The sequence below is a fragment of the Homo sapiens genome, chromosome 4 (assembly GCF_000001405.40).
Source record: "Homo sapiens chromosome 4, GRCh38.p14 Primary Assembly".
Classification (NCBI taxonomy): Eukaryota; Metazoa; Chordata; class Mammalia; order Primates; family Hominidae; genus Homo; species Homo sapiens.
This window is the reverse complement of record NC_000004.12, coordinates 101263900-101286108: the sequence shown is the minus strand read 5'-3', so window position 1 is coordinate 101286108 and position 22209 is coordinate 101263900. Positions and strand designations below refer to the sequence as shown.

The 22209-nt window shown below is 35.9% G+C and overlaps 1 protein-coding gene across 3 annotated transcripts in view, besides 1 other annotated feature; it reads left to right on the top strand.

Annotated features, from left to right (window-relative positions):
• The window catches only part of PPP3CA (protein phosphatase 3 catalytic subunit alpha), a 324109-nt gene that overhangs the window by 61418 nt on the left and 240482 nt on the right, over positions 1 to 22209 (top strand). The window lies entirely within an intron of this gene.
• Positions 6283 to 6577: an enhancer, noted in NCBI's record as "tiled region #14793; K562 Activating DNase unmatched - State 9:DNaseU". NCBI's record gives its function as "activates a minimal TATA promoter and a strong SV40 promoter by Sharpr-MPRA in K562 cells {active_cell/tissue: K562}" and the evidence as "EXISTENCE:reporter gene assay evidence [ECO:0000049][PMID:27701403]".

The following is a 22209-nucleotide window of genomic DNA, read 5'->3' as shown; positions in this document are numbered from 1 at the left end:
GGATGCTTCTTAGGAGAATCTAACAAATGCCTGATGATCTGAGGTGAAACAGTTTCATCCTGAAACCATCCATCCACCCCCGCCTTGTACATGAAAAAATTGTCTTACACGAAAACGGTCCCTGGCACCAAAACAGTTAGGGACCACTGCTTTAAAGTATATGTGCTTTTGCATTGCAATTTAGGTGTAGGAGTTTATGCTGTTTTTGCCTTTCTGTTTTCATTGTGTAAATTATCAGCCAAAACTTTTGTCGAATGACTGCAAAGTCTTGGTCTGTGTTCCCTGGACCGGCTTTGTGGTGATTCACACTAGTATTGATTAATGGCATGATTCATAGCAGCTTGCATTGATAAGTTCAAGAACTCCCCTTGTTGACTTTGTGGGTCGTGCTTGACCATCTTGGGAGAGGTGTTTCCCTGAGATAGGAGTAGCCAACATCGATATGTATTAGAAAACACACACACACACACACACACACACACACACACACACACACACACACACACACATACACACAGTGGCATTTGAAAGGGAAGGGAAAGGAATTAGTATCAATTAATTCTTTGAAATGTATCTCTTTGTTTCAGATGATGTGGGACACCGGCTTGTGCAATGTGATATAAGAAGGGGGAACTCTTTAAGCCGTACAAAAACATGTATCAAGTGATTTGATATGTACAGGGGTTATAAATCTTGTATTCCATTTATTTACAGATTAGTGATATTAGATGTAAATCTATTTAGCAGGGAAAGTATAAGCAATTTATCTTTAATGGAAGGGATGGTTGGGAGGCCATAATCTCCTCTTCTACTACTTGATAAGATATGATTAAAGGAAAGCAAGTTAAGGATAATAATTATTTAAACATAATCCTTTATGTCAAAATTAATATTGCATGAATTTTGAATTCTATATTTACCTGAAAGAAACCTGTAAAATCTCGGTGCTGTGTGGACGTTACAGATTTTAGTGCATTGAGGTGTGAGACAGTGAGTACAGATAGAGGGAGACAAGATAGAGAATCCTTGTCTCCCATCAGTATTTGGGTTTGTGTTTGTGTGGTTTTCTTGCTGTTGTTAGAAACAATACGTTTCTTAAGAAGATGCCAAAAGAACTTGCTTTAGCAAGTTGACATCTATTGATGAATAAGTATGACATTTTAATCCCCATATTTTAAATGATGTTTGGTTACTATTTGTTTAAAAGCAACTGAATAAAAACATCTTCAGCTATCCAGATTCCAATCTGTACAGATGACTAATCATGTGGAATATTTGAACATAAAGGTTCTAGTGAAAAATAAAAATTAAAACAAAAAATGTAGTTGCTCCCAGATTTGAAAGTACAGAATGTTTTCTGTGCCTTTTAGATATGGGTAACTATGACATTGAAAACAATGGTAACCACGGGAAATGCACCTTACAAAATAAATAAGGGGAAAAAAAAAAGACATGGGGGTGGGGAGTAGGAAGGAGTTGGTGTAGTAACAGCTTAGTGAGTAAATAAATATTTAAACTTCATGCTTTGTTACTTGTGTAATCATGAGATTTGCAGAATTATGTTTTATATTACATTTTTAGTTGGTATCTTTTTTATCTTGTGTTAAATAATCTGTTAAGCCAAATTTAAGTACTGTTCAGAAACAAAAGCAAGTTACAAGCTTTGTGGGTGTTAATGTCTTCATGTGTAAAAAACCAGAAAATTGAATTAGATATATCCTAAGGTTTTTTCCAAGCTTTTAAATTCCATGATTCTGTGACCCAGGAGGTGTCCAGGAGTCATGTGAGTAAACTTTTAAGTTTTGAAGTAACGTTAACTCCAAGACTTGAAACCCTTGAAATTGGCTAGAAATCCTATACAAGATTTCCAGAAAGTTACCGTTATACTTCCTGATTACGCTTATGGATACAAATATAAAGCAAACAATAACCAAAGACACATAAAACAAACCCTGATTCTAGCAGTTTACGAAAAGAGGAAATTTATTAGAAGGTTCTGGGGGATCATTGTCCAGTAGAACTTTCTGTGATGAGGAAAATGTTTAGAGAATCTGAGCTATCCAGCATGGTAGTCAATAGTCATATGTGACTATTTAGCACTTGAAATATGTCTAGTTCAACTACAAGACTCGATTTTACATTTTATTTAGTTTTAATTAATTTAAATGTAAACTTTTAAGATTTAAAGGAATCCTGGGAGTAACCGAAACGTCGGTCTTGAGAAGAATAGGAAGAAACCAGGGTGGCCTTAGGAACTAAGAACTGCTTTGGAAGCAGTAGTGGTGTGTTCTTCAGAGTCATACCATGACTTAGTTATTAGTGGTACCCAACCTGGATTTATCAGATAACAATGGCATCTTCCAGGGAGAGAAAATCTGATTGTCTTTACATGAGTTTGGTGTCTACCCTCCAAATCAATCAACTGTAGGTTGGGTTGCAGAATGATTGCGTACCTGCCAGAGTGCTGACAGTTCCCAGGGAAGGAGGAAGTGGAGCCAGGCAGCAGTCTTAAGAGCGGTTTGCCACATTACTTAAGAGAAATATGTTTTTCCCTGCAAGCACTGATTTTTCTAACTTTAAAATACTCTTATTTTGTTAATTTACTTGTATTGCACCTGACTTATTTACCTTTTTTATTGCTAATTAAAAATACCACTCTATGTTGAGTAAACTTTTACTAACCTGAGAGACTAATGATTTATAACATTGTGTAGAAGGAAATCAAAGAACATTATAGCCAAAAGCAACAATATGAGCCATGCTAGACAATGCTCTCTTGTTACAGAGAGTATTGATACCAAGGCTTAGATGTTTTGCTATTTCAAGTCACGAAATTATTTGCCACATTAGGGATAGATACTTGCTTTAATCTGAACCTATGTTGTTGACCAGCTACATGTTAAAACCAAGTGTTTGAAAACCATCTTTTTGAAATTTGACGCTTTCCCGTAAATTTTTATTTTCCTGTAAAGTGGTAATACTAATAATTTGTGAGAAAACTGAGTAGTGCAGGTTTTGATTTTGAAGGGTTTTTTGTTTTGTTTTACATTTTTAAAACATGAAGAAAGAGCTTTGATTGAGAATGTGTTAATTGTATTATGTGAACCTATAAAATTAACTCTTATTATTTAATACATATGAACCAAATAATACTTGACCCAGATAAGTGAAGGATAGATAGAAAAGAAAGGCATTTACTTAAAATGGCTGCTTATTTTATCAAAGTTAGATTTCAAATTAGAGTTGGATGAGCTGTTTTAAAAGTCCATGCTAAATATGTTGGGGACTGCCCCGGAAACAGGTTTTCCTCCTCTGTGTAAATCAGCCATGTTTCTGTGGTGCGAGGTGGGTGGGAGCCTTGCTTTACTTCCTGCATCTCAGCAGGCTCAGGAAGGGAAGCTTGCTAGGGTGTTTAAGCAGCCACATGCATTATGTTAAATTAATTCTACCCCAGTCTTTGGACATCTATTGACAATAGTATTATTTGGGTTGCAAAATCAACAAGTGAATAGACCAAAGAAGAAATGGGGAAGAACCCAGAATGAGTGTGAGTCAAACACTACCTTGACACAGGAAGCCAGGACTAGAAGCCCTGAGATCAGTCCAATCCAGGGAATATGCTGACTGCGCTGTCATTTAGAACAGGCCAGTGGAATTCAGGACCTATCAGGTAAGTCCATGTCTTACCAACTTAAAGCAATCTTCTGGGAAGAGGTCTGGACCTGTATCTAACATGAATTGTAGTGAGGTCTGTCCATCACATTTCACTCATCTAATCACCTTTGTCATTCTTCTGGTTTTCACAGATAGGATAGAAAAACTGTAGTTTTTTTCTGTTGCCACTTAGCTCTTGGTTGCAGGGGCCTCTAGGTAGGTGTGAAGTGGTTATCAAGGCTTTGACTGTCAAAAACACTTCTACTCAAAATTGGCCTTAGCAGTTAAGCCAGATTTAAAATGATTTTGGTAGTGGATTATCTAAGCTCATATAGAATAACTGCAAGTCACTTTCAAACTTGCCATAGATGCGAAGATAATATATTCTCATTTTCTGGACTAGCTTTTCCCAGGAAAAGGTATGGGGTGGAGGGATATCAAATATCAATTTTTGTAGATATGGAAAGCTCCATGAATGTGTATTTATAGGCCCCCTGAGGTCTAACTGAATGTATGTTGAATGCAGATTCTTCTGTTTTCCTCCCCAGGTTTGTCATTTGGCAACTAGTACAGGAAAAAGACCCTCAATAACTAGCAAGTCTGTCTTTGTTATATGTAGACAAGCATTTTGATTAATTTAGGGAGGATGCTTTTTTCACTATATAAAATTAAAATGAAATTATGGAAGAACCTAGTTTGTTTTCTTACTTGAGTTGAATGCTGTTTAACCACTTTCTTATTACATTCGATTGACTTAGTTGAGTTGGATGCTGAATGTTTAACCACTTTCTTATTACATTTGATTGACTTAAAAACCATCTGTAGCATAGCCTAAATAACTTAAGACTTTCAGAAAGTTGTGGCAAATTTTTTTGATACATTCTCATTCATAGCCAACTCAATTATATTAACTTTTTATACAAATCAAATTATATTATAATCCATACACATTAAATTTCACTTAGACCAAAGAAGAGCCAAGGCTTCTTTACTGGATCTCACCCCCTCTTACGTATTTAAGAGCATTGCCCCAGGAAGTCCTCTTTTCTGCATCAGCATTTTCTATTCTTTGTTGGATCATACTCATTAGCAGAAGATGCCATAGTTTTTACTGTCTTGAAATAATAAAGCTTCTCCTGAGCCCATGTTCTTATCCAGCTACTGCTGCATTTCTCTTCAGAGCAAAACTCTCCAAAAGAATTATGTACGTTCACTGTCTCAAATTGCTCTTCTCCCATTCTTCCTTGAACCCTCTCCAAAGCTTTTCCTCATTCACTGCTTCAGAGCCTTCTTTTGTCAAAGTCTCCAATAACCTCAGTGTTGTCAGGTTGAATAGCAGGCTCATCTAATTTGACTTAGCATAGCATTTAACACAGCTGATCACACTGTCTCTCCCGGAACACATTCTTCTCTGGAGTACTTGCAAATCACATGCTCTTGGTTCTCCTCCTGCATCATAGGCTGTTCTCTCTCAGTCATTTTTTTTTCCTATTTCTTCTTTGTTTCTCCAGTCTCTAACCATTTAACCATTGGAATGCCCCCTTCTCTTTTCTATATAATGCATTTGTGGAGTGAGCTCAAGCATTCTTCTTTTATGTATGACACTGATGGTTTCCAGTTTTTTTTTTTTTTTTTGAGACTGAGTCTGGCTCTGTCACCCAGGCTGGAGTGCAATGAGGTGATCTCAGCTCACTGCAGCCTCTGCCTCCTGGGTTCAAGTGATTCTCCAGCCTCAGCCTCCCAAGTAGCTGGAACTGCAGGTGCATGCCACCATGCCCGGCTAATTTTTGTATTTTTAGTAGAGATGGGGTTTCACTATGTTGGCTAGGCCGGTCTCGAACTCCTGACCTCAGGTGATCCACCCGCCTCGGCCTCCTACAGTGCTGGGATTACAGGCATGAGCCACCACACCTGGTCCGTTTCCAGTTTTTATCTACAGTTTGAATCTTTCCTCAGTGCCTCTAGTCTCATATATACAAAATACCTGCTTAACACTTTCACTTGCCTGTCTAAATTAACTTGTCCACACTCAGACTCTTGCTTTCCCTTGTTCTTTCTGAGCAGTAATGGTGGCCTTCTTGATATTTATTTAAAAAAGAAAACAGATTCACAGCTCAAGGCCTTTATATTTGCTATTACCTCTGTTTGCCATGCTTTTCTCCCAGATACCCACATGGCTTAGTCTCCCCACCTCCTTACGTCTGCTCAAATATCACTATTCTCAATCTGGCTACTTTTTCTTCTTAATTTTCTCTCTAATGCTTATTTGACATGCCGTATATTTGTCTGTTTATTGCTTTACATTCCAAGAATATATGCTCTAAGAGGGCAGTGACTTTTGTCCATTTTATTCGCTAATGTGTTCCCATTTCTTACTACAGTGCCTGGTCCATAGTAAGTGCTCAATTAATATACATTGAGGGAAAAGACTACATGAACATTACTACCACGATGATGTTATAGTTGATTTCAGTTCCAGGAACTGAAAATGTGAAAGTGCTTCCGTCAATTTCTCCTTTGAAACTTCACTTTAGATAACTTACTTCTTTAGTGAGAAACAGCAGCCCCTTATTCTTAAAGGAAGATTTCCATTGTGTGCCTTTTTCTTCTGCAGCTGTCTCTGAGCAAATTGCTCATTCTAGCTTCTTCTTGGAATGAGTCTCTTCTCTGAACTTCTCTTGGCTCTTCCCTCTTTCAGCTTGGCTTCTGTTCACGGAGCTTAGTTCTACTTCCTGACCTCACAGAGCTTGCCCTTTTTATAGTAAAAAGCCTGTGGTGATGTCATTGGCTCAGCTGGTTTCAATCAGGCTGCTCAGTTGAAGCTGATGAATGACTCTGCAAGTTATCTTTTGGAGGGCTGTACTTATTCTGATACAAAATACGCAGTTATATACAGCATTAACCATTTAGCAATTATCCCATGTGAGTCATGGGAATGCTTTTTCCCACTCTTTACTAACGGAAATTCTAATTGATCATTGGCTGCCCCACAAGCACAGCAGAGTCAGGTATCTGATGTTGGTCAACTGCTTACTGGCTCTTACTCTGCTTCTAACTCTCTAGGACCTCCTGCAGCCTTTCTCCTGCCTGTTACTTTATTCTGCTTTCTAAATGTCATTCCTTAGATCCTTAATTAAGCTACCCCAAACTTGTTTCTCACCTTGAACCTCTGCCTTACTGTTACTCATCCATTTGCTGCTCTTGGATCACACATTTTTTTTTGACCTTGCCATTTGTAAAATGTAATTGAATTGTGTGTGTGTGTGGCTACCCTTTTCTTTTTTAATTCTAGGCACTCATCTTTACTATTAATTCTGTAACAATTGCTATTTTTGACTTTAGAACATTGTCCTAACTTTTTTCAGTGAGAAGGTGATTGGTTTGTGATTTATTTCTGGTAATTTTATGCTTCTAAGTCTGATGCAAGACATTTTAATTACATTTTTTAGTTTGGAAGAGAAAGGCTTTATTGGGAAATTGATCGGTTTTCATAAAACAAATCTGTCATATTTAAAAATGGGCCTGCATAGAATATAGTGTGTATGAAAAGTGGTGGCTACAGAATCCTTGTAGTTAAAGCTCAGAAAGTTTTGATAGCCAGTGGCACAAAGGGGGCCAGATGTCCACGGGGGTGATTGTTTAAAGGGATGGTAGGGAAAATATAAAGTGAATGTGTAGAATGAAGGGGTGCTTATGACCAGGGTGAACTTCTAATTTATTGTGTAAATCAGGATGCTTTGAAGATAAAAGTTGTAACAGACATAAACTGGGACTGCCCACGCAAACCCTACCTATATATAACATTGCCGACACACCTCAGAATTATGGGTAGGCCTGGTTGGCCTTCATGATCAGTTGTTTTTCAGGACACAATGAAGTTAATATTCCACCTCTGTGGTATCCGCAGTCTGCTTTATAGCAGAGCAAGAGTCTCAGGAAACATAGTTTGAGAGCTCCAAGTTCAATATGGAGAGGTCTGTTTCTGAGCAGCAGCTATTTCTAAGCCACTGCAGCTGGGAAGGTGGTAGAGGGAGTGATGAGGAGGGGATCAGGTGTCTTTGGGGCAGTTAATGGACCTAATTCTGAGGGTTAGTGAGAGGCAAAATTTGGGGTAATGGGGTAATAGCAGAGGGCTGACAAATGACAGGTAGACTAAGCAATCTTTAAATAAAATTGAATATATTTTAAAGACATGCTTACCTCATTGTAAGCTTATAATTAAGAAACTGAATATGGCAAAATAATTGCAGTGTTAAATTTATTTCATAACATTGAATTTAAAAGTCGTAGTTAAAATAACTTTTTAATTTTTTTATTTTTTTTTTTTTTTTTACTAATAGCTTTTAAAGTTTCATTTTTTATGTTTGGTGCCAGAATTAAGAAGTGGCCCTTTCTCCGTATAAAGCAAATGGAGTTTTATATGCTAGATTCAATGTTGTGAACTGGGAAAAACATATCTGGTTTTATATAGGCTTTAAGAAAAATCAGGACTGATCCTAGGAAGATTAGGAAGGGGATTTATAGGACTAATATAGTCACTATCTCAGTGTTATGACTTACTGCTTTGGTTTTCATGGAATTTTCTTCTAAAGAACATTGTGAGTCACTGGTGTAGACAGAATCCTGAACACTCTTAGACCACTGACAAGTAGAAAACCCTGTTTGCAGCCAGCAGGGTCTGTGATTTGCCCATAGTAGGTACTTAATAAATATTGTTGACTTGATTTGGCTTAGGTTTGTCACTGGAAAATGTAAAAGCCAATGCACATTTATAGATTGATTTAAATTTTGGGGAGCATTTTTGCTATGCTATGTACATTTAGAGAAATAATGGCTATTTTTGTCTAACAGGAATTGTAGGCATGCGTAAGTTGAATGTGCAAGATGGACCTCTGAGGAGACAAGAACCATTAGAAACTTTTGCATACTATATTATCTGAATATTCATAAGTAAATGCAAATAGAAGAGCAATTTCTGTCAAATTGGGACATTTAAACAAATCAAGTGTTAACTTTGTTACTAAATTTTTAAAATGCGTTTTTTGATATTTACCTAAATGAATTGGAAATGTAGGTCCACGCAAAAACCCGTACACAAATGTCCACAGCAGCTTTATTTTTAATTTCCAAATAGCCGAGATGTCTTTCAATAAGTGAATGGATAGATAAACTGTGGTACATCCATATGATGAGGTATTATTCAGAGATATAAAGAAATGAGGTACCAAGCCACATAGAAATGGAGAAAACTTAGATGTCAATTGGTAAGTGAAAGAAGTGAATTTGAAAAGGCTGTGTATGATTCCATCTATGTGATATTATGGAAAAGGCAAAAATATGGTGACAGTGAAAAGGTTAGTGAATCCCAGGGCAAGTGGGTAGATCTGGGGAGTAAGAGGGATGAATAGGTGGAGCACAGGGGACTTTTAGGACCTGAAAATATCAGGTCCTAATATTTTGAAAATATCAGGTCCTAGCCATAATGCTGGATAGATGTCATTATACATTTGTTGAAATCCGTAGAATGTGTAACACAAAGAATGAACCTCAATGTAAACTGTGGGCTTTAGTTAATAATAACGTATCAACGCTGGCTCAGCAATTAATTTCAACAAATATACAGTACTAATGCAAGATGTTAACATAGGGGAAACTGTGTGGGAGGTAAAGGGGTAAATGGGAACTCTGTACTTACCATTCAGTTTTTTTTTCTCTAAATCTAAAACTGTTCCAAACAACATATTTTATTTTAATATAGTAAACATGCAAAGGCAAACCCTATTTCCTGTACATAGTGGATGTCTGATAAATACATGGTACATGAATGCATGATGGGATGAGTGAAGAAATGAACTGCGTGATAATGTATGTGAAAGTACCATGTAAACAAACTGCCTGACAAATGTGGGGGGAAAAGCTAGTGAGGAAAAATGGAAAACAAGTCATGAAAAACATTCAGTGTAAAAGTTTGAGAAGGCATAAGAGGAATTTGAACTAAAGACTGAAACTATTTTAAACTGTTTAATTTTCAGAAAAAAATAATATAGTTTTTATTAAATAAAAAGTTGATACCTATGCTTTCAGAGTCTGTGAATTAGAGACACCATCTTGACACCAATTACTTCTCATATTAATTTGGTTTTGTTCTAGAGGCTTCAGCTTACAAGTTTCAGAGGAGGTCCTTCTCTAAAGGTGTTTTTTGTTTCCTTCATTGTTTAATATGGGCAGGTTTCCGTAATCTCGATACAAAACCTTGATAAGGCCAGGAGCGGTGATTCAAGCCTGTAATCCTAGTGCTCTGGGAAGCTGAGGCAGGAGGATTGCTTGATGCCAGGAGTTCGGGACCAGCCTGGGAAACATAGTCACATCTTATCTGTACAAAAAAATTAGAAAAATTAGCTGGGCATGATGGTGCACCTTTAATCCCAGCTACGCAGGAGGCTGAGGCAGGAGAATTTCTTGGGATCTCGAGTTCTAGGCTGCAGTGAACTATGATTTCCACAGCACTCCAGTCTGGGCAACAGAGCTGGACCCTGTCTCAAAAAAAAACAAAAAACAAAAAACAAACAAACAAACAAAAAACAAAAAAAAAACCACACATACACACAGAAAACAAAAAGCGAAAAAAACCACACCACCCCAAAACAAACAAAAAAGATGTAAAAGTGACCTTGCACATAACAAGCTTCCAGCCAAGAAGATTGAAAAGCAGTTAAATAGAGGAATAGGTAGACTATCATTTGCTTAGTATTTTATAATTTTGAGTCTTTGTTCTGAAGAAAATGTGACCTTTGTTAAATTTTAGATAAATATGAGAATGACCTTGATTCTTTGGTTTTATCTTCAGTAATGTTAAAAATGCAAGTATGTTGAAGTCATTTGTTGTTTTTCTCAGATAAGCCTCGTGTATTTGAAAATAATTGGAATGATTTCTGCTCGGTAGTAGTATGATTTTCCTAGCCTTATATCTTTTATGCAGTGCTCTCAAGGAATATGGGTGGTACAAGGTTATAATATACTGGCAACCGTGTTTCTTAAGGATTTGACGTGAAAGAAGGTATAACTTTCTATAGGCGATTACAGATAAGAACATGGTACTGTGAGAGTACATAGGAAAGGTGCTTACCTGCAGCCCTGAGGATCAGGAAGGTGCTTTATGAGAAGTGACAACTAAACCAGGACCTGAGATATGGGTGGCAGTTAACCAAATAAGTTAGTGAGAGAAGGGATGTGAAAGTAAAGGAATAATTACTGCAGAAGCTTGGAGTCAGGGCTGCAGAGAGTTTAGAGATCAGAAAGATGTTCTTCGTGGCAAGAATATATACCGTTAAGTATGAGGGTTATGAGGAAATAATGAGGCTAATGAGGAAGTAGGGTCAGTGAAAGACTTTCTGCCATGTTAAATAATTAACTTTTTGGAGCCCAATCACTGAAAATGATTCAGTTTCATTTTTGAACTTTTGAACATTTTGTGATTAATAAAAAAGATGTCAATTATTGCTTATTAAAGGCTTTCAATGCTATTACTCACACAATTTATCTCATATGAATTGTTTTATTGCTTAAAGTGTCTTGGATTATAAGAAAGCACCTGTTAGGTTTGTAATGATCTAAATGCAATTTCACTTTAGCTTGATTATTGGTATTTATGAAATTAAACATTAAATGAATTACATATACTAGATTTGTGGGAAGGAAAGCTTTCTTTAAAGGCAGAATAAACTCCCAGAGATTTTACTAATTGGACAACATGTATTTTTTCCCTATAGAAATGAAAAAAATATGTAATCCATGACTTTCATGCTGTAATACGTACATAGAAAAAAAGATTTTTGTAAAAAAGAAAGGGAGTATTTGTGAACTCTGGAAGAATCTCATGTTGAATAAGAAATTTTGAAATCAGAATGTAGTGTGGGTTTAGTATTTTCTGTACAGAATAAGTTTGCCATAAATTACTAAATAATTCACAGATCTTTTATCTGATTAATTGAAATAAAATAATTGAAGATTTGTTAATTTTGGATGTTGTGCCCAATTAACAGCTGAAATATCCTTCAATACTAATTGAGTAAAGACTCAAAATAATTTGAGACATGAACATATTTTCTCATCTATGTTAGTTCTCCTTTATTTATTTATTTTTGAGACGGAGTCTTGCTCTGTCGCCTAGGCTGGAGTGCAGTGGCGCAATCTTGCAATCTCAGCTCACTATAACCTCCGCCTCCTGGGTTCAAGTAATTCTCCCACCTCAGCCTCCCAAATAGCTGGGATTACAGGCACCCGCCATCATGTCCGGCTAATGTTGGTATTTTTGTAGATACGGGGTTTTACCATGTTGGCCAGGCTGGTCTTGAACTCCTGACCTCAGGTGATCACCCGCCTTGGCCTCCCAAAGTGCTGGGATTACAGTCATGAGACACCATGCCTGGCCAACCTTTAATCTACTGTATGCTACTTAAAGAGTTATTCTGCAATTTCTTTGTATAAAGATTTTTTTTCAGCTGTTAGTTTTTTTTTTACTTAAATCAATTATAAAATTTAAGTTAAATATAACCAATTGCTATTGCTTCTTGGCCCAAGATGTTTTCTTATTTCATCATTTTATTTTTATTTGCAATGTTGACCGTTTTATTTTACTTCTGTAGAGGAGGTGTCACTCTTGGCCATTTTTGCTTGAATAGTTCTTTTATTCTATTCTTTCATTCATTCTGACCTTAGAGGATTTATGTATATTGAAGCTTATTTTTGAAAAGTGGAGAGATAAAACTACTCATGCTTGGGATTCAGTTTCTTAAATGTGAACTGTCATCATAAAATATGTAATTTTAAAGGCCAGGTGTGGTGGCTCACGCCTCTAATCCCAGCACTTTGGGAGGCCGAGGTGGGCAGATCACAAGGTCAGGAGTTCGAGACCAGCCTGGCCAATATGGTGAAACCCTGTCTCTACTAATAGTACAAAAATTAGCTGAGCATGGTGGCATGCACTTGTAGTCCCAGCTACTTGGGAGGCTGAGGCAGGAGAATAGCTTGAACCCGGGAGGCAGAGGTTGCAGTGAGTAGAGCCTGCGCCACTGCGCGATCACTCTGTCACTCAGGCTGCATAGGTTCTCTGTCCAGCCTGGGCGACAGAGCAAGACTCCATCTCAAAAAAAAAAAAAGTAATTTTAATTATTTTCTTTTATTAAAAATAGAATCTCTGAATGAAAAATGTGTTAATTCTTTAAGAGTAATAGAAACCATTTGGTACAGGTATTGGGAAGTTACAAAAAGATTCTTGACTTAGAAACACATACCAGTTTGTATTCTCAAAACAATATCTATCCTACTTACATCTATCAAGTCATGAATTGGAGGATCAATAATGAAAATTTATAAAATTCTTGTCCTTTGAACTCAGGATGATCTGAAGGTCTTATAGTACTTCAAATGACCAAAAGTCAATCTGGAGAATGTTCTTTTGGAATTCTGAAGCCAATTTAGTTTCTCTTCTGCTCCCTTCCTGCTTTAGTTGTTAGCTTTTCGTTCTTACCTGGGAATAGTTTGCTCCTTGTTTGTCCCCTTTCAGCTAACTCTCTTACCTTAAGGGAACATTAAAAAGTATTTGGGTTACAAGTTATTTCTCCATAAATAAAGTGCATGTGTATCAACAGAGTTTTCCATTAAGAAGATATGATACAGTCTACCCACAGAGAGTTTTTGTTTAATAAACACTTCCTTACTCTGTGCCAGGCACCGTTTCAAGTACTTTGTAGATATTAATGCATTTAATCTCATGAGGTAGATAACATTATTGTCCACATTTTGCATGTGAGGAAACTGTGGCACGGAGAAGTAAGTGGAGGAACTGAGGTTGTCTGACTATATAATTTTGTGTGCTACTTCTCTGAGCATAAGAGAAGGATCAGTACTAAAGAGAAGCATGCAAATGATCAGTAATGTTGAAAACATACTTTTCTTGGATGAATTTCTGTTGAATAGATAAGTGAATCTTGATATGATTGCCTTATTGTCCTACGTATCTTGTATATTATAGAATGAGGCATTATGTCTCTGGAATTTATCCAGGCTTTGGGGGTTAACAGAATTGGGTTTAAATTCTGACTGCCACGTACTTATAATTCTTATAATTATTTATAATTCTAAGCAATGTCTTTAAGTATAAAATGGAACTAGTAGTACTTCCTAAGGTAGTTATGGGATAAATGAGATAATGAATGTAACAGGCCAAGTATATTGAAGGCATTCAATAAGTGGTATGTAGTATTAAGTGCTATAACTAGGATGGTAGAAATAGAAGTTGTATAGTGGAGGAGATAAACCTAGAAACAGTTTCATGTAATCATATTATCAGCTAAGGATGGTGATTGAGGAGTGGCGGGGTGTAAGGGAAGCCCTTTGAAGCAAATTAGGCCTAAGTAATAATAAAGAAAATTTCATTATTCCTAACTATTAAGTGAATTAATCATTATCTTGTTATAGTATAATGATTACGAATGACTAAGTTAGTAGTTAAAATGTTACATTTTAAATTTTGTTTTAAAAAGTTGTAGCAGTGAGCAACATAGACATTTATTCACCAACAGCACTTTTGTTGTTTGTGTTTTGTGTGTCGTTAATTCTGTCCACCACATTTTTGGGCCCATCTTTTACCCTTGTTTGTGGTTTATCTACACTATATTAGTTTATGGGGAGACCTTTCCTCTTAATAAATAGCAGGAAGCTGTCCACTTCCAGTGGTGCTGACTCATGTAGCAACAGGAAGAGGAATGATTCCTAAAGATGGGAGGGGAAGGGGCATGATCCTCTTCCCTCCCTTAAAGAGACAAATTCGGGACAGAATTACAAAGCAGTTTATGTGATGGATGAGTAAGCCATGGGTTAAAAGATTTTCTCCTTAATTATGCTTTTTTATTTGTGTTTTATTCTTACTGTACTGGCTTACCCATGTGAAAGCAATTCCTAATGCCCACTGCCTTTTAAGTTTATGTTTACTTTCTCTGATTAGAAGATTAAAGAGAAATATCATGTTTACACTTACAGTCAGTATTAACTTCTGCTTGTAACTGGTGGTATGCTGGTGGGAAAATGGTTAACTAGCACTTAACAGTGATGGTTGGCACCAGTCAGTTCTTATTGGTTGAATCGAAATAATTACTGAAAGGATTTTAACTATATAAGATATAACTTACTAGCTAAATGCATAAATTGTTAGTATGTGTCATGAGTTTATTGTCGACTGAAAGCTGCTTTTTTAATTATCAAGTTTTGGAAAACATGTAGAATCCTGTAAAGAGAAATCCAGAAGATTTGAGAAGACAGGTGGGAGTGCTGTTATTTGGAGAACAGTTTCTGTGTGTGATGTGAACTCTCTGAAAGACCTTGAGGAGGAGGAGGTGAACATAGATGAAGTGGCTGGCTGAGGTGGGAGGATTGCTTGAGCCCAGGAGTTTGAATCTGTACTCCAGCCTTGGGTGATATAGCAAGATCCTGTCTCAAATATATATAACAGAGGTCTAACTAAAAATTATTAGAATTGATTTTTACATGTAGTTTATGGAACAATTCTTAAAAATTCATAAAGTCACACTGTATTTAATCTACTTTGGGGTTCAAACTTACAAAAAGGACTTTTAGGCAATGATTTTTTGGAATGTAAAATATACCATAATTAAAAATGAATATTATCGAATTGTTAAGTCTTATGTAGGGCATCAAGGACTTCACTAGCCCACCTGTAAATTAAGAAATAACCATTCAGATTAAACAAAGCAAGTATAAAGGAAGTTGGATGGACCCTTTTTGCCAATATGCAGATGTATCATTTCTAGAAGATGTACTTTAATTATGACCATTTAACAGACCAATACTGTCTACCTTAAAACCTCCTTTGGTATCTAATTTCTTGCAACATAGTGCATCTCAAATAACTGGTAGGAAATTGTTTGTGTCTTTAAACATATTTTTAGTGTCTTTAAACATATTTTTGTTTGTGTCTTTAAACATATTTTTAGGAACGTATGGCATCATGCATATGTCCTTTTCTTTGAATCTGGGAGGTGGAAGAAAGCTTAGTTTGAACAAGCTTATCTAGTACCTGACATTGAACATCGCTGTATGCCTTGTGATAGAGTAATAGATTGAGACACATATTTACAACAATTGATAAAGGTTTTATTGGTTGTGAAGGTGGTATGCACACATATGAATGACCTGTCACGGATCTCACAGATACTTCCTTTTTATGCAGTAGCTATAGCCACTTTAAAAGATACAGATGTTATATAGTAAAAATACTACAAACTCAGAACCTCTTAAAACAATTTTTTGCTTCTTGCAAATTGCTGTCTTTATGCAATATTCCTCAAAGATCTTGTTTGCAGTGAAGCATCCTTCAAAGCATGTGAAATGTATTTTTCATTACCATCTCACATGTTATATGCCCTTAATTCCATTTGTAGGAACTCCTTCTAACATTTAATGAAATCCTCAGCAGCCAGCTGTATGCCACAGAGGTTACCATGGGTTAACCAACATTTTATGAAATGTTCACATGTTCCTGGAAAAACCAATGAGCAGCTTATAGAGACTGGTAAAGCAAAGGCGTGACTTCTACTGATGTTGCATTTCTGTAGTACTGCCATATTTGGACACTTATCTTACAAATACTTATATGTTGTCTTCTTCATGATGTTCACATTGAGGTGGGTAATTATGCCAGCAGTATACTTTGTGTTTCACAGCTATGAAACAAAGTGGATATTACTACAGGATGCCTGTGTTTCCAACAAATATTTAATGAATGCCTATTAATACCAAGATGTTTTCCAGGTTCTGGGGATACATAGCAGTTAAAACACACACACACACACACACACACACACACACACACACACACACACACGTTCCTTGTTTGTATGGAGCTTATGTTCTTTTCTGTGCATGATAAGAAGACAAAACCAAATCGAATTCTATCCCCATTTTCATGGATGGGTATAACAATTTAATATTATTTATCTGTATTCTAGAATATAAGTCAGAGAGAATTAGATTTAAAAAGGTAGTTTGGGGGCCATAGTGTTCAAAGCCTTGTGTGATGAACTAAGAAAGTTGCATTTAATTCACTTGTGAATGTGGAGCTAATGAAGATTTAGTGAATATTTTGAGGAGGATAGTGGCATGATTGTTGCTAGGCTTCTGGAAAGATGATTCTTCCATAAGGGTATATGGTGAATTATAGTCTGAATCGTAAATAAAGAGTAGTTAAAGTTAAGTCTGGCAAGATTTATTATAGCCTGTCATAGACGATGAGGAGGGCATCTGTGTAATCTTACAGCAGTGGATCTCAATCTTCTTGACAAATTTTTGAAGACAGGGAACAACATTGCTAAAAGATAACAATAAAAATGAAAAATGCTGACTAAGTTGGTACAATTAGACATGATAAATGAATTTTATATCTGCTCTTCTGTAATTTTCATAGCAGTTTTCTCCTGGGCTGAACAAATAGTTTATAAACTTTGGGCAGCTGATATTTAGCAGGACGTCCCATGAGACAACTTAGTAAAAAGAATAAAATAATCAAATACCAAGACCAGTTTTAGGAACACAGCATAGACATCAAATTGTGATATTGTCCTTTGACTTTTTTTTCCCATATTATCTTAAGGAAGATATCTTGAGTGCGCAGAAGTCTTGGACATTTGGTTCAGATATGTTACTTGTATATATGACTAATACATTAAGCCTAATGTGTTCCAGCAAGTATAAATAATATGCTATAGGGATTGTTATAGGCTGCGAATCTTCCTTAGGTTTATTTAGGTATAGAGGTGAGATAAAGTTGCAATTTTATTATCTTTAGTTCATTAGCAGTTAAATACAGTGTTACTCTATGTATTGTTGACTGTCCGAGTTGCAGGTTTTTATAGTGGTATAGACATATTTAGGGTACTATTGTAGAGGAAGATGGTTTTACGTATTTAAGTTGATTTCAGCATTGTGGTCCTATGGCACCATAAAAACTGTGAGGTTGGAATTCTCTGAAATTGTTGAAGGCCTACGAATTACTGTGTACCAGCTTAAGAATGTAATCACTGAGATGTGACAGAATTTTGCCTTCTTTTCTCAGACTTCTCTCACCGATGATTAGGTGCAGGTATTTTTGCAGAAAAGAAGTAATACCTCTTTTCCATTTGCTTTAGTTGAAAATTAATGAGAATTTATCAATTTTTCTTCTTCATATTGATTTTTATTATTGTTATTGTTACTTATTTATGTTTTTTAGAGAGTGGATCTCTCTATGTTCCCCAGGCTGGAGTTCAGTGGCACAATCATAGCTCACTGCAACCTTAAACTTCTGGACTCAAGTAATCCTCCTGCTTCATCCTCCCAAGTAGCTGGAACTATAGGCACATACCACCATGCTTGGCTAACTTGTTAATATTTTTGTAGAGACGAGGTCTCATCATGTTGGTTAGGCATATTGATTTTAACTCAGGCTATCAAATATAGTCCCTGAAAAGGAGGAAATTATTTATTTCAACTAAAAAGGTTTTAAAAGTTTAAAAACCATCTTCTTATGCAAGTTAACAATAGTATCGATAGTATAAATATTAATAGTGGAGTAAATATTGGTGTATAAACTATGGTTATAAATTCTTGCACAATACAAATCTCATCTTGGACTCAATTTATTGAACATTTTTAGTAATTTTGTCAGTCTGGAGTTCACTTTTGTTACTAGTATAAATTGCATTTTCCAGAGATAGCGTATGTTAATATTAATCTGCCTGGACACATTTCCCTACACTTCTTTGTCAGATTAGGTGTCATCTCCTTTAGAGGCCATTCCTCAGATCCGCTTATCCCCTCCTGCCTCCCATCTCAGTATAGTACGGGCTTCATGCACTTCCATTATTAAACTTTATGCTTATAGCCCTCAAAAGCAGGAGTCGTAGCACAGTTTCTGTACTGTAATTATTTGATTACTTGGTTGTCTTTCACACTAAATAATGAGTACCTGAACTACAAGGACATTGTAATCCCAAGTATATAACACAATTCCTAGCGTATCATAGGCCCTGAGAAATATTGGTTGGAAAGAAATCTTTATTCACATTTATGGATAATTCATACCTATTATGTGTTACATTGGCTTGTGAAAACCTTTGATTCTGTGGAAATTGAATTTTATTCAACTTTTAGATGAGCCATTAATTCTATATTTAATGCATATTCTGCACAGTACATGGATTATCCACTAATATACTTTTTTCTAACACTGAAGTAATTAAGTTCCATTATCTAGAGTCCTCCTACTCAGTTTGAGGTTGTGGAAATCTGTGTATACATATTATTTCATTCCTAGTTAACTGAGGACGCCCCAGGGCAGAGGCAGATTGGTAATAAGGTCTGACTTCACACCATGGCCCTATCAGTGGTCTGAAAAAGACAGCTAGGCATGGTATTCTGAAAAGGACAGCTAGGGGTGTTCGTCTGTCTCATGCTCCTACAGAATTTGGCTTAAATGAAGAAAATAGTTGGTCACATTCTCTATATGAGAGAGGACAGTATCAGTAATCAATAATGATTGAGCAATTGCTACTTACTTTCTCCTTTTATACCCAGAGATACTACTGGAAAGATACTGTTCTCTTAATTTTCTTTAGTGAATGTGTTTGTGTTTGCTACACATAGCCCCTAATTTTAAATTTCACTTTCACTAGTTGAACTCAGGTTCAATTGCTAGACCTGTATGGACTGGTCTAGTATGGACTGTACTCTTGTTTCTCATCCAGTCATCTCTGAGTCTGTCAATGTAAAGAAATTTCTTCATGTTTATCCCAACCTTGATATTTCCTTGAGATTTCATTAGGCCATCTTTAATTATAGGTTTTTAATTTTGTTTTTAATGGACAGTTGATATAGACTGAATAACACTGTGATTTTAAATGAGAAAGATTAATCACGCTATATAATACTGTAACTGATTTTTATAATGTAGTAGTAACCATTCTTATAATTTAGTAGTAAACATAGCTAGGGCCATATCTAAATTTAATAACTTGATTGAAAAATGCATTCACTTAATAATCCTATTTATTTTTTGTACCTATGATGTAAATACTTATGATGTAAGATATAAATAGTAAATGTATAGAGCTGTATGCAACTTTTATTCTCTTTATTTTCTTCTGTTAGTAATTTACTGGCTTTACATATTTTGACAGAGTTAAAAGAATAAGAATATGGGAACTGATGTAAGAAAATACAGAGTTTTCATGAAAAGTAGAGGAAATAGGTGAGGTAAGAAATAGTGAAAACAGTCTGGAATTATTAATTATTATTATATCTAAGTCACTTGGTAAGAAAGTAAATAAACCTGTTGAGGTATAAATTATTTTACTTCCTCTTTGTGTATGTAAAGGTAGTTCTATATATAAAGGTGATTCATCCACAGGCAGTAACATGTAAATTCCATAATCCCTCTGTATGCTATCACAAATACATTAAAGAAACACTTTTTTTTTCTAGGTAGAGCATGTGAGCTGCATTATCTTAAAGACGTTTATGTTGCTTTCTATGTTTATTCCCCTCTATTACATGACCAGGTCTTTCTCTACTTTGTAAGTGAATGACCAGTGGAGTTTCTTAGATGGTTTAATTTTGTTATTTTGGGATCAGGGTAAATGAGTTATGTTTGTTTTGAAGCAGTGTTTGTATATCTGTTGTTTATCTTGTGTGGTTTTTATTTGGGTTATCATTTGACTTTGGAATTTAGCCACTCCTTACCTTTCATTCATCTTCTCCTTCAAAATGCTGACACAAGCAGAGAAGTGAATGAACAAAAACTCACTGTTTGTATTTATTCATGTTTCCAAGTGATTCATGTTTAGTTATCCTTTCCTTGAATCACCATTCATTAAAAGTGGTTTGGTCTTCTTTATGCCTATCTTCTCTGTTTGTGATAATCTTTCTATTCTTTGGGATTCAGGTCAATTTACTAAGAAAAACTCATGATTAAATATCTTGAAGAAAGCAGACATGGGCTGGGTGCTATGGCACACACCTGTAATCCCAGCAGTTTGGGAGGCTGAGGTGGAAAGATTACTTGAGCCCAGGAGTTTCAGACTGGCCTGGGCAACAGAGCAAGACCCTGTCTCTACAAATAAATAAAAAAAATAAATAAAAGAGTAGCTGGCTCCCAGCTACTCAGGAGGCTGAGGCAGGAGGATCGCTTAAGCCCAGGAGGTCAAGGCTGCAGTGAGCCCTGTTTGCACCACTACTGCAGCCTGGGTGACAGAGGGAGACTCTGGAAAACAGGCTCTATTGCATTATTTCATATGGCTAACAAATTATAACCTACAATACAACAAAATTCAGCCAAATTCTTATGGATATAGTGGTAATATAAATTTTTGGTTTCTCTCCTGAATTGTTTTTCTTTTAATCGTCTAGACCAGAGCTGAAGGCTACTTCCCCCTCAGAGAGAATTGTTTGGCCTAAAAGAGATTTAAACAGTTTGTATTAGTTTCCATCATAGGGGATTCAGAAGATAAAATCTGACTTTTCCCTGCTACCTCCTTTAATAAGGGCATATATCACCAGAACTCTACCTTGCCTCCTCTATCCTGTCTTCCCTCATACATGCTATGTTTACTTTGCCTCCCCTGGCTCCTATAGGCATTTGAGTTTGTTGTCTTTTCTTGAATGATTAAATGAGATATTTGCTTAGTGATTATTTGAACTTAATAAACCATTGTGAGAAATTGAAGGTCACTGTGCAACTGGGCTTTTAGAATCTGGATTTACACTGAGACTGAGGGACAAAGATCTGCACAACAAACTGAATTTTATGTGCATTTGTACATTTTGCATTTTTCTGTATGTTAAATAGTAATTGCTTGCTGGTCTCAAAAAACTGATTCATGAAGAATGTTTTCAAAGGAAATGTTTTTCCTTCCTTCTTTTATTTTAATTTTTTCTTTTTGTTAACTTTCTTTTTCTTGCCCTGTCTTAAGGTGCTGATTTTTCCTGCCTTCGTATGCCTTAGAAGTCATTTCAGTTTTCATATTAAACTAAAGATTAAAAAAAGACTCAATTCCTATTAAAATTAAAAAGTCAAAAAATTCAAATGCAACTGTGAGCTACAGTGACTTCTCATTTACTAATAAAGTGCTGGGTCATAAAAAATAAATAAAAAGGAAGGACAGACAACAGAAACAGTTCCTGCCTTGGGGGAAAAAGACATGGGGGAAAAAGATATGAAAATGATTCATGCCTTATTTCATTTATTTGATGTAAATGAAGAACTTTATGTGAAGACATATTACTTTTTATGTCTATTTTGAAATCTAGACATAGACTTCGATATTGGGGTCAAATTGCTAATTTAAGTACTGTGAGAATCAGTGTACTAAGCTAATCTTGTGAAAAGATGGTTTTGGATGGAGACTCTTCCCAGTAATTATTACGGAGTTAAGGCACCCTTTTTACCATCTTCTCTGTCAACCTAACTGACATGAATTTCTAACCTGGTAAAGTGAGAAGAGTGAT